This window comes from Homo sapiens, chromosome 5 (assembly GCF_000001405.40).
Source record: "Homo sapiens chromosome 5, GRCh38.p14 Primary Assembly".
NCBI classification, from domain to species: domain Eukaryota; kingdom Metazoa; phylum Chordata; class Mammalia; order Primates; family Hominidae; genus Homo; species Homo sapiens.
This window is the reverse complement of record NC_000005.10, coordinates 149831093-149843812: the sequence shown is the minus strand read 5'-3', so window position 1 is coordinate 149843812 and position 12720 is coordinate 149831093. Positions and strand designations below refer to the sequence as shown.

The 12720-nt window shown below is 52.3% G+C and overlaps 1 protein-coding gene across 8 annotated transcripts in view, besides 1 other annotated feature; it reads right to left on the bottom strand.

Annotated features, from left to right (window-relative positions):
* Positions 1-12720, bottom strand: part of PPARGC1B (PPARG coactivator 1 beta) — a 127650-nt gene that overhangs the window by 14147 nt on the left and 100783 nt on the right. For 7 of the 8 annotated variants that reach the window (XM_011537553.3, XM_011537555.3, NM_133263.4 and 4 more), the window contains 6 exons: positions 10035-11157; positions 9103-9139; positions 8448-8512; positions 6740-7550; positions 3697-3772; positions 1436-1557 (listed from right to left, as the gene is read on the bottom strand). In XM_011537553.3, coding sequence (XP_011535855.1) covers positions 1436-1557; positions 3697-3772; positions 6740-7550; positions 8448-8512; positions 9103-9139; positions 10035-11157 — 2234 coding nt within the window. Of the gene's footprint in view, positions 1-1435; positions 1558-3696; positions 3773-6739; positions 7551-8447; positions 8513-9102; positions 9140-10034; positions 11158-12720 lie in introns of those variants that run through there. The other variant, XM_011537557.2, reaches the window with a different exon arrangement.
* Positions 11967-12176: an enhancer, noted in NCBI's record as "active region_23391". NCBI's record gives its function as "activates an Ori minimal core promoter by ATAC-STARR-seq in GM12878 lymphoblastoid cells {active_cell/tissue: GM12878}" and the evidence as "EXISTENCE:reporter gene assay evidence [ECO:0000049][PMID:35858748]".

The following is a 12720-nucleotide window of genomic DNA, read 5'->3' as shown; positions in this document are numbered from 1 at the left end:
AGGCTTCATAATATTCCACTCTATGTATAGAAACCATATTTTGTTTATCTGTTCATCTGTTGGGGGACATTTGGATTGTTTCACCTCTTGGCTATTGTAAATAATGTCGTTATGAGCTTGGGTGAACAAATACCTCTTGGAGATCCTGTTTTCAATTCTTCTGAATATATACCCGTAAGTGGAATGGCTGGATCAGATGGGGGTTCTAGGTTTAATTTTCTGATGAACTGCCATACTGTTTTCCACATCGGCTGCATCATTTAAAATTCCCACCAACACTATACAAGAGTTCCAGTTTCTCCACATCCTTGCCAGTATTTATTTTCTGGTTTTTTGATAGTGGCCATCCTAATGGGCAAGAAGTATATAATAACTCTTACACCAGAAACTCTTTTCTTGCTGAAGCTTTCTATTATTATTATTGTATTAGAATGTAAAAACCCGAATAACTTAGTTTGCCTTAGTTTGCCGATATAATAGGAGATAATTTAGAAAGATTTCAAAACTGACAAAGTTTTGACATCTAAATTGTGCATTCATATGAAACCTGTTCTTTTTGCAGATCCCCTGATAGGTAAAACACTGCTTCTCCAGGTAAGTGACGAAAAACCAGGGCTGCCTAGTAGAACAAAAGGCCTGGGGCCTTTTCTTATTTTTTGCTCTATCACCCAGGCTGGAGTGCAGTGGCGCCATCTCGGCTCACTGCAACCTCTGCCTCCTGGGTTCAAGGGATTCTCCTGCCTCAGCCTCCTGAGTAGCTGGGAATACAGGAGTGCACCACCACACCCAGCAAATTTTTAAATTTTCAGTAGAGACGGGGTTTCACCATGTTGGCCAGGCTGGTCTTGAACTCTTGACCTCAAGTGATCTGCCTGCCTTGGCCTCCCCAAATGCTGGGATTACAAGTGTGAGCCGCCATACCCAACCAAGGCCTGGGACTTGCTGCTGCAGAGGAAGGGAGGGTGCTGCAGAGGAAGCACAGGGCTGAGGTAGAGTGGAGTCCCAGTGCAAGTCTTCAAGCTGCCAGGGGCTGCTGCCCCGCACTATCTCCAGGCCAAAGGCCCTGAAGCAGACACATGGGCTCCGGTTCTGGCTCTGCCACCAACTAGCTGCCCAGCTAACTTGTCTGAACTCCTGCAGAAAGGAGAGCAATTGAAAGACCAGGAGTGCTTATGTCCCTGGCGTGCTGGGAAGTTTAGATAAAAGAATGAAAGGAAACTGCCTGGCACTTCGTAAACCATCAGCACGTGTTTGCTGCTATTACTGACTGCATTACCATTTCTGGTCCTTCTCATGGGCCTGGCTTTCCACATCTAGGCTATGGATTTTGTCAGATTCATTTCACAAATCTTGGGCATCTTCTGGTACCCAATTCTGGATCAGGACCAGTGCCCCTCTCTGCTCCCTTCATTTGCCATGGCTTGGTTCAACTCACCTCCTATTTCTTGTCAGCACCTCGCACTCCTCAATCTCACCAAACACTTCAAAGCGCCTCTTCAGCTCTCGGGAGCTCATGTCGCTGGAGAGATTTTGAATGTACACCACGCGGCCTTCCCCCTGCCCAAGAAGGAGGACAGAGAGAGACTCCGTCATTGCCTGGCTTCCTGGGGCCCCTCTGGGAGTGGGCTCCCGTGGAGTCCTTGTCCTAGTCCATGATGCCTGGCTGAGTGAGCAATACCGGCTGGAGTCAGAGAGAGGACAATGCCAATCTCTACCCCAGAGGACCTGCCCTTGTTAGGGGAGGGTGTTGGAAGGGAAGAGGCCTCCAAGGAAGCCACTGCTTACATGAAGGAAATGAGCAAAGACTGGGGCTAGGAAGGGGGAGGGATTTATCACCATTGATATGCCTGCATATTCAGTAGCTTTTGGACTTAACCTTTCAAGTCTGAGCAGGGGAGGTGCTGGGGTAGGGCAAGCACAGGAGGCAGGTTGATTGTGAGTGTGAGAGTGGGCTGGAAGGAAGGGTAATGGGGTGGGGGCATCAGGGATATTGGTTTTGCCTGGGCAAAGTGGCTGAAGCCACAGTATAGACACTGTCACCAAGGCGTCACCTTCAGGAGAGTTCCATGCTATGCCAGTGGGTGCCCAGAACAGCCTAGCAGAGGGAAGGGGTGGGAGAAAGTCCAGACTGGAACTCCCCTTCCCCTCCTCTCAGATCTGTGATTTGATCTGGTTGAAGCCACTGCTATTGGACAAATCACTCTGACCTGCGAGAGAAGCTGCAGGCTTGTTCCTGGAAATCTGTGTTCCCATAGGAAAAACACACAGTTTCTTGTCCTGGACAGGCTTGCTCTGGAAACAGGTTATAGCCAGTGATGCTCCAGCCATCCCACCCACGGACTACACATGCCAAGGAAGAAAACCCAGGTGGCGGGTCCACAAACAGGACTCCGTCGTCAACAGTCAGGGGAACTGTACATCCCACAACATACGATGTCCAAGCTCAGCTCAACAGAGAAATCCCCTCCTCCCACTCTCCTTGCAGCTTCTTGAATTCATAAAGCTCCTTTCTGCCACTGCTCCAAACACTTGTCCCCCTGAGTCTTCGCTTGGTTGCTCCTTTTCATCAATCAGGGCCCAGCTCCCTGAAGGTGCCCTTCCCTGGCCACCCCATAAACACATCTTCCTCAACAGTCCTGTTTACTTTAGATTGTTACTAATTGCACATTACTAATTTCACAGTGCTTATCCCAATCTGTAATTACATTGTTTATTCCTTTGTTTATGAGTCTATTATCTCTCTCTCCCTTCTGTTCAGCCAGAAGGGGGGCCTCATCCCTCTTGTTCATTGCTGTCCTCCAACGCCCAGAACTGTGCTAGGCCTGTAACTGCTGAATGACCAGACCCAGACTCCAAGAAGATGCTCCATGCACAGTCCACGGTTTTAAGGACCTGTGTGCAGACAGCTGTGCACCTCTAGGGTATGCATACCTCCTGTGTGCCCCTCCTCCCTGAAGTGCCACATCACATGGGAGAGACTCAGCAGGAGTCTGTTTGTCTTTTTGTGTTTCCATCCTACTTTCCTCCTTCCTTTCTAGTGACATAGCCTAGCTGGCCAGCTCCAGCTCCCCACTCCAGGCCCCTGATGTGTTTTCTCTGTGGGGAGCTTTGCAGTAGGGTCACCAGGCAAAGGCAGAAGGCCAGGGCCTGTGGACTAACTCTGGGAAGGCATTAGGGAGGTGGGTGGGGAGGAAGGGACAGGCTCTCTTGGTCTCTCGGCACTGATCAAGTTGGGGAAAGCCTTGGGAAGCACAGGCCCAACTCCCTTACGTACAAATGAGGAAAAGTGAGGCTCGGGGTAGCTGGGGGACCTGCCCACGGTCACATAGAAGGTGGTGGCAGGGCTGACTTGTAACCTGGCCAGCCTGGCTCTGCTCCCCACTACCACAGCCCGCCCACTTGGCTCTCTCAAGGCCCCTGACGCTGAGCCCTAAATCACCACCAACAGCACACTCATGGCCAGTCTCTTGGTTGAACTTTGCATGGTGCCACCTTTGATGCCCTTTAGTGACCCTCGTGCTCTTCAAATGAGAGAAATATCATTGTCTGCTGTTGCCATAGTCCCTTCTTCCCCAGGCAGAGGCCGAAGACTGAGGGGCTCACCAGCCAGCCTCAAAAGGCTTTGGTCCATGAAGCCCCCACACACTTCCTGTCCGTTCCCATTCACTCCAGGCTCTGGGCCCCCAGATCACTTACAATGGCCTTTTCCCGCCGCTTCCTGGCGTGCCGGATGCTTGGCGTTCTGTCTGAACACGGCCCTCTGCTCTCACATCTGTCAGTGAACAAGCAAAGCAGAGGCACTCACTCTCGGGAGATACCATGGGGGTGGGGGCGGATCTGCTCCAGGACGCAAGGGATGCTTCCTTAGGATTTGTTCACGAGGGCACACAGCTGGAACTGCCTCCCGCAGAAACCTAGCTTCCCCTTCTGCAACGACGGCCCAGGGCTGTGTGTGGGCCTGAACATCTGGACACATGCCTACTGCCAGCTTCCGGACTGGATCACCGGGAACCACTGTGTTGCTCATTATAATCCCACCCCATTCTGAGCCTTGCCTCTCTATGCCATTAGGGGTAGAAAAGCCCTTTTGCTTTATTATCTTATTTGACCTGATTTTTTTTTAAACCCCATGAGGTTTTATGTTTCTCCATTTTCCAGATGAAAAATCTGAGGCTCAGGTTTGAGATGGGATTTGCTTAAAGCCAGAAAGCAGAGAAGTTAGAAGCAGGTCCTTCTGATTCCAGAACCACTGTTCCCTTTGGGTTCATGCCTCAGCCAAGCAGCAGCCCCTGGCCATTGCAGCTCCATGCTTCCAGGCTAGCTATCAGGCTCATTAGTCCCATAGCCCGAGCAGGCTCCCAGGTGCCACCCACCTGCAGCCTTCCTTGCCTGCTTGCACGCTGCCCTCACTCATCCAGTCTGAGTCACTGACAAATACAGCACAGAGGACAAGAACACAGGCTTGTGAGTCAGACAGCTTGAGTTTGAAGCTTGGCCCCACCGCCTCCCTGTTGGGTGACCTTGGGCCAGTTACAGAAGCCCTCTCAACTTCAGTTCTTCATCTATAAAATAGGGATAACCAATTGTGTCCATCCCTTGGCCATTTGTGAGGATTAAATTTAAAAGTGCATGTCAATGCTTAGCCCAGGAACTGCTCCGTAAATATTTGCTCTATTTTTCTATGTAATCTCTTTGAGCCTCAGCTTCCTCATCTATAAAATGGGGATAAGCAGCAGATACCTCCAGGTGCACCTGTGAAGCTCTAGTAGGATAATGGGAGGGGAAATTACTTGCAACTTTAAAGGGTTACCTAATTATTGTATTATCATCCCTTTTGCAACAGAATTGGTAGAATTTCCCCACCTGAAGAGCTGAGAGTGCCTGGAAGGTATCGTGGAGTTCAAGATTTGTGTTGTTAACCCAGCTTAACGTGCTTTCTGTTGCTGAGTGTTTGGTACAGGTCTGGAGAAGGCTGATTAGTATCTTACCAGGTTTACCAGGTACTGAGCTCAGCCAGGTAGCTGAGCAGGAGCCAGGTTACCCAATTAAGTTTCTGTAGTGAGCAGAAAAAGCCAGCCCTGAACCTGGCCCAAAAGTGAGAAGAGAAAAAGGAAAATCCATGGGGGTTTCTAGAGAAGTTCTCGACTCTTCCCAGGCAATTCTATGAATGCAGGCCCAGCCCAAACACCTCTGAGCTGGGCAGGAGAGAAAGGAGACCAGGGAAGCTCCAGCTTGGGGGATGTATTTCAACATGAAGAGAACCTGGGCAACTGCCTAATGTGGAGATGGAGTGCTTTAGCTCACAGCAAAGCAAGGCTGAAGCCAAACCTTTGACATTGGACCACTGTAGGGCAGAAGCTACCCCCGGGAAAGAATGGAGCCAGAAAGAGAGGCTCAGCGAAGTCGGCAGAACGCAGCTGTGACTGACGAATCCTAGCTTCTACAGTAAGGGCTTGCTGGAGAAATTGCTGCGGACCTCACTTTGAGGAACAAAAAATTTAGGGCTTCTTAACAAGTTTGCGGGGAGCCCACAAACCCCCTAAAATTGAATGCCCAGTTAGATGTGTATGCACATTTTAATATGGAGATGGGCCTTTGCTTTAATCAGGTTTTCAAACAGTTAAGAACACTTGTTGTAGATGTATAAACATAAAGCTGAAGTCTTTTTACATTTTATTTAACAAAAAAAAATTTTTTTTTGCTAGTCCCTTTAGAAGGGAAGAAGAGGTATCTTCGCAAGACCTAAATTCTGGTCTCAGAGTATGATACTCTAGCAATGTCATCATCATCACCTGGGGACTTGTTGGAAACGCCAATCCCTGCCCCTGCCCCTGCCCCTGCCCCACCCCAGACCTACAGATCAGACACCCGGGTGTGGGCCGGCCAGTGGAGGCGCAACAAATCCTGCAGCGGATTCGGCAGCTGGGCTCTAGCCCAAGAGCAGCATCTAGTGGCCACTCAGCTTCACCTCAACACAGGGCTGGGGATGATGACACTGACTGTCCTCAAGCCTTCCCCAGGGAGAATCAGGACCCACTGTGATCAGAGAGGAGCAACCAGTACCCTCTGAATCTGCCAAACCTCCATTTTTTCTGCCCAGCTCCCCAGCTGACTTTTGGACTGGCTTCTTCTCCAGTCTGGTTCAGCGAGCGAGGATGATACGAGCAAGCGGGCTCATGAGGCATCATCCCTCCACTGAGGTCAAAGCCCTTCGAGGGGCAGCCAACTGGTGAAAGCCACAGCACAACTCAGCATGACCCAGAAACCTTATCAATGCTTTATGTCCAGGTATTTTCCAGAGCACAGATTAGAATTACACTAATCTTTCTTTTACTTATAAACATCCCTAGAATTCAAACTGTTGGGGCAGGTATGTTTGCACAAAAACTTATCCATTTTACAAACATAAAAGCAAAAAGTACAAATGGATAAGGGACAAGTTCCTTTATAGACGTAAGCCCACAAATAGCCAGGAGTGGGTTTTCTTTCTTTCTGGAGGCCAGGATGTTTGGGACACTCTCGATTTCACAGACCAGGCTGTGCCTGCCTCCAGAACTCACCCACAACTGCCCCAGAAGACCACCTTCAAGGCTCCTGACCAAGACATGGGCCACACTGGGAGATGCAGCCTCAGTTTCAGAGCAAGCTTCCCAGGGATCCTCCCTCCTGGGGCTCCTGGCTCCCCGGGAACTGGGATCCTCCACTGCCCGCTGCCTCTCCTGCAGCCCCCTGTTCATACCTGAAGTTCCTTCGAGTGGCTGGTGACCAGGAGTGGCAGGGTGAAGAGCCAGAGCTTGAGCGGCTGCGGGAACAGAGCTGCCGGTTGGCCTTGCTTGGTGGGCTCTGGTAGGGGCAGTGGTCAGAGCAAGTGGGGCTGACCCCTGAGTCCTCTTCTTCATCGTCCTCCTCCTCCTCCTCCCCTTCTTCCTCTTCCTCCTCTGGGAGGAAGCTGCTCTCGCCGCTGCTGCTGCTGCTGTCTTCAAAGACAGTGTCATACTCAGGGCTCTTGCAGGAGGCCAGGTCTTCCTCCTCCAGGGCGGTCTCCAGCAGCCCAAAGTGTTTGGTGAGGCTGGCACGGATCTCATGGTCTCTCAGCAGCGTGCTGTCCTTGGGTGGGGCGCCAGCATCACAGCTTCTGTCTTCCTCCCTGCCAGGGGCCTGTGCCTCAGCCCAAGGGGCACCCTGCTGGGGCCAGTCCTCAAGGTGAACCCCAGACGGCTCCCAGGACCTCAGCACCTTCCTTTGCAGGACGCCTTCTGGTCGGAGCACCTGGCAGTAGTCATGGTCTCCAAAGGAACAGGAGAAGGGACGCTTCTGGCCAGCCTGGGAGGCTGGCTGGGCTGTGGCATGTCGCAGGTGGGACAGGAGCTCACTTCGCTCTGGGTGCTTCTTTGGCAGCTTGTGGGCAGCCCCTGGGGTGGCCTTGAGTGAGAGGCCCTCAGGGGAGGGGAGGCTGAGAGCTATTTCTTTGCCTAGACTATGCTTGATGTCTGGTTTGAAGGGATCCTCCTCTGTGGGCTTGTACGGTGGTGTGGTGGGTGGGGTGAGTCCTGCCCGAGGAAGAGGAGAAAGGTAAGATAAAGACAGATCACTTCTCCAAGGGACACTAAGACCCTAAGTTTGGGGCCAAGCCTGGTAGCTCACACCTATAATCCCAACATTTTGGGAGGGTGAGGTGGGTGGATTACTTGAGGCCAGGAGCTCGAGACCAGCCTGGCCAACACGGTGAAATCATGTCTCTACTAAAATACAAAAAAATTAAACAGGCTTGTTGGTGCAGTGAGCCAAGATCGTGCCACTGCACTCCAGCCTGGACAACATAGTAAGACTATGTCTCAAAAAAAAAAAAAAAAAGAAAAAAAAAAGACCCTAGTTTGGGATGGCAATAAAATGGCCAAGTGCCTTTACTCCCCCAACCCAGTGGATGGCAGACATCACTAACTGATCACTGCACTGCTGGCTGAGCCTGGAGGTAGGCTGGGAATCCTCCAATTCTTTGGAGTTGGCATGTGATGAAATCCATTTGCCATCCCTTCTGTGACCTACTAATGGCAGCTGGAACCTCCCAGTCATCCAAATACCTCTTCCTGATCTACGTCCAATCGTTCAACAAACCCTCCCAACTATACCTCTCATATGCCTCTGGTGTTTCCCATGACGGAGAGGGGGCAGGCACCGCAGATAAAACTGCCCACCTGGGCTGGGTGCGGTGGCTCACGCCTGTAATGCTGGTTCATTCCCAGTGAGTCTTCTTTATGGTACCTATTGCAATTTGTAATGATCTTCCTTTTCTGTTTGCTTTTTGACTGCCTATAACATAAGCCCCGTGAAGGCAGGCATCTTGCGCATCGTTCATTGCGTGGCACCTTGCCCATGCATGATGAAAAACTCAGAGATGCACGGGTGTTTTCCTGAAGGCACCTGCCAGTGGAAGCCCCCTGGCTCACCTGCTGTGCCACAGAGCTCCACTGTCAAGGTCTGCTCAAAGCTCTTCTTGCCAAAAGTTGGGTCGCTGGTGGAGGCAGGGAGGACAGAAAGGAAAGAAGCAAGTCAGCAGCAGGCATCCACCTCCCCGCCCATGAAAGGGTCGCAGGGAGTGCTGTGACAGGCCCTGGTTCCACTGCCCATGGAAATGGAGCCTGAGATGCATTCGCTCTGGGGGAAACCCCATCCCGGCTGTTAGAGGAATTCAAGCTGCACAGCTCTTTTAGGAGACACAGGCAAGGTTCACTGGAGGGTAAATAGAGGACAAGTGTTGTCAGCCTCCTTATTTTATAGAGGGAGCAACCGAGGCCCAGAAGGAGGAACGGACTTGCTGAAAGCCACAGGGCACTGTCAGAAAAGAACTCTTTTCAGGGCCCCCAAGAGGACAGGTTATGAAATGGCCTGAGGCCTTTCCTCTGGCCTGCAAAAGTCAGTTTCTAAACACCAACTCCCTTCTAAAGGAGCCCAGCTCCTGAGGGTCCCAGATGACAATCAGGGCACAGGGTGTGGGGCCGGGGCCAGGGGTGGGCGCTGATGAATCCCCCATCACCACCAACACACACATCCAACAAGACAAAATCTCATGGAACAATACACCAATAATTTCTAAAAATCTACCTTTGTGACAAGGCCAGCATGAGGCACCTGGGAGAGTCTGAAAAGAAGACACAGAAAAATAAGATTCCCCAATATGGTATCACTAGCAGATGTTTCCCCTCTGGAGGAGACCCTAGGCCTCCACTGGTGCCAAGCACAGCTGCCCTTTGGGCAGGTGACCAAACACCTCTGCCACTTTTAGAGAAGGGCAGAACAACTCAAATCCACCTTCCATCCTAGTCTCAGCTGGGAGAGCGACTTGATTTTGCAGAAAGTACAAACAGGTGCAAGAGTGACCCCTTCTGGCTAAACGTGTAGCACAGTGAGGAAGAACTTGACTCTAAGTCCCACTGCTGTGAGCTCTGGACAGACAGCCCTGCATAGGGCTCATCATTAAGTAGCTCTGTGCCTGAGTTTCTGTATCATAAAATGGAGACGATGACAGTCCCTACCAGAGAGCCTTCTTGTGAGGACTCAATAGGGACAATCTGTTCATCTGAGACCAGTGCCAGCACGGTAAGTATACAGTGGCTAACTGTTGTTATCATTACTGCTATTAGCAGCATTTAAAACTCTAGCTGCATTGTGGAGCTGAACTTATAGCCTTACGCTTCTGTCACATCATCCCCAGTGAGTCTTCTTTACAGTACCTATTGCAATTTTGTAATTATCCTCCTTTTCTGTTTACTTTTTGACTGCCTGCTTAATTCATTAAGTGGCACCTTGCCCATGCAAGATGAAAAACTCAGAGATGCATAGGTGTTCTTCTGAAGATCTGCTCCAACTAGCCCAAAGAAAAGCTGAAAGCCAGGGAGGGGAAGGGACTTGTCCAAACCCATATAACACTTTGTTGGGGGACGGGGACTTGAACACAGGGCTCCTGGCTCCCAGTGCAGAGGGGCATGCTGCACCCCATCCCTGCCCCCACTTCGCAGACCACCAACTCTGACTACCTCTGGGAGGGAGCTGCGGGCAGCTGGGGTCCTCATCCATGTCCCCACACCCACTCTCACAGGGGCTCTCCAGGGCAGGGATCTGGGGTCCCCGTAGGAGCTGCTGGTCTTGGCCACTGTCCTCGTCCGTGGGGCTGCCCAGCTCCCGCTCTACGTCGTAGGCCTTGGGAGCCAGGCACAGTGAGGGCAGAGCACCTTGGGGCTCCGAGGGGACCAGCGGCTCATCTGCAAATGTCAGCCAGGGGCCCAGCTCAGGGTTCAGTCTCCGAGAACGCCGCACGGGGCACACAGAGCTCTCCAGCTTCCTCCCCAGCTTCGTCCATGGCAGGCCTCGGCCTGGCCTTTTCCTGCCCCACTCCTCCTCCTCCTCTTTTTCTTCTTCCTCTTCCTCCTCCTCTTCTTCCTCGTCTTCCTCCTCCTGCTGCTGCAGTCTGGCAGGCCGGCGGACCTCCCTTTTCACCTCCAGCCGCAGTGGGCGCAGGCTTGGTCTGGGCCCGGTGCTCTTGGGTGAAGCTGCGATCCTTACCTCCTCCACCGAGGACGGGCGACCAGGGGAGGCCTGACTGTCTTTGGGGGGCCTGGGCCTTGACCGAGGTGTGAGGGAGGCATAAACAGGCGTGGCCAGACGGTAGGGTTTGCTGACATCACAGAGCACGTCTTGAGCCAGAAGTTCCCTCAGAATGGAGAACTCAGCCCAGGAGGCTTTGGAGTGGTGCCGGGACCAGGGCCGGGATCTGACCTGCTGGGAGGGGTTGCTGCAGGCCTTGGGGAGTGGCTCAGGGGTCTGTGGGGGCAGCTTCCTCTGGGGGAGGCAGTAGGTGTGCATGTAGCGTATGAGTTGCACCATCGCCTGCATGTCTTCCTGGGAAACCGGGGCACCGGGGTCTGCCCTGCCCAGAGCTAGGGAGTCCCGGGGAGAGGCTGGAGCTGGCTGGGGGCTCGGGCAGTCCTCACCCGGCTCCTTGTCCTCCTTGGCAGGGAGCCGGGGACTCTGGAGGCATGGTGGCTGCAGACCCCGATCCTGCAGGCAGCACTGTGCCGAGGTGAGGTGCTTATGTAGTTCTGTACAACTTCGGCTCTGAGACTGCATCATGGGAGCCTTCTTGTCTTGGGTGCTGTCCGCCTAGAGAGGGAGAGAGGCCAGAGTGAGGAAGGAGGCCCAAACACTCCTCCCATGTGTCTCATCCGCATGGTCACTGGCTGGCCCATTGTGTCTCACCTGGATCATAGGAACAGCCAGGTTTCCTTCATTCCGTCCCCAGCTTCCCACACAGAGCCGGGCACCTGGCTGTGCTCAGTGGATGAGGAATGAAGGAAAGACCAGCCTCCTAACAGCTCTCCCAGCCATGGAATTTCGCCCCTGCAGACCCTTCCAGATTCACTGACAAAGCCCCACTCTGACCATTCCGCCTCCCTGCTCCGTACCCCTCAGCCAAGAGCCGGGCAGTAGGTTCATGGTAGCCTGGAGCTGGGCGTAGGAAGGACTTGCTACAAATGAGCACTGGGGGATTCATCGATCTCGGCCCACTGCAACCTCTGCTTCCCAGGTTCAAGCGATTCTCCTGCCTCAGCCTCCCGAGTAGTTGGGATTACAGGCGTGCATCACCACACCCGGCTAATTTTTTGTATTTTTTAGTAGAGACAAGGTTTCACCACGTTGGCCAGGCTGGTCTTGAACTCCTGAGCTCAAGTGATCCTCCCGCCTCAGCCTCCCAAAGTGCTGGGATTACAGGCGTGAGCCACCGCGACCAGCCTGAATGATGGATATGTTCTAAAACTGGATAATGGTCACAATTGCATGGGTATAAGTTTACTAAAAGTCATAGAATTGTTTACAATAGGTGGCTTTTATGTATGTAAATTGCACTTCAATAAAGTTTAAAAAAACAAAAAATTCAGTAGCTCCTAGTGCCCACAGGATAAAGGGGAGGCTCCATGGCTGGGTGTCTGAGGTCCTCTGCACTCGCACCAGCCAACCTCTCCAGTCTTATTCGCCCCGCTTGTCCACACTGGGGCTTTCCCCCCAAGTGTGACTCATCGTTGTGCTGGGACTTTCTAGCAATGGCTGTCAGATGCATCTCACCTCTCTGGGGAGCTTCTTAGGCTCCCAGAGGGCAAACAGCTGGCTCACAATGGGGTGTGGCTGCTGCCCCTTCAACAGAATGAGGCACGAGAGGGTGGACCTTTGTTTCAGGAGGGTCAGCCAGGACAAATAGGGAGGGAGCATAGGGACTCATTCCCCAGAGAAGCCCCAGCAAGGGAGAGGCTCCTACACTGAGCTGCTGTCTGAGAGGTCCCGATTCTGCCTCTGAGGATGTAGGATTGGATGCAACAGTTCCCAGGAGAAGCGTCCAGGACCAGGAAGAGGAGGGGTTGTGTGTAGCCTTTGAGGACAGGACCCTTTGAAAAACACCTGTTACGCCTCTTCTTGTTAGGCTTGGAAGATGGGGCTCAAGGAGGAAAAGGGATGTTCTTTGACCCTGGATGTCTATGGCAGAGCTTTAAACCCTCCAATGGGCTCCCTGAGGGGGGAAAAAAAATCCAAACTATTTACTGTGGCCTCCACAACCAGCGCAATCTTGCATTTTGGTCTGTCACACTGTTGGAATACAGTCCTCTGAAGCCTGGCCACACTTTCCTCATCCTTGCTCTAAGCTGCATTAACATCTACCAGTGTCTGGAACAC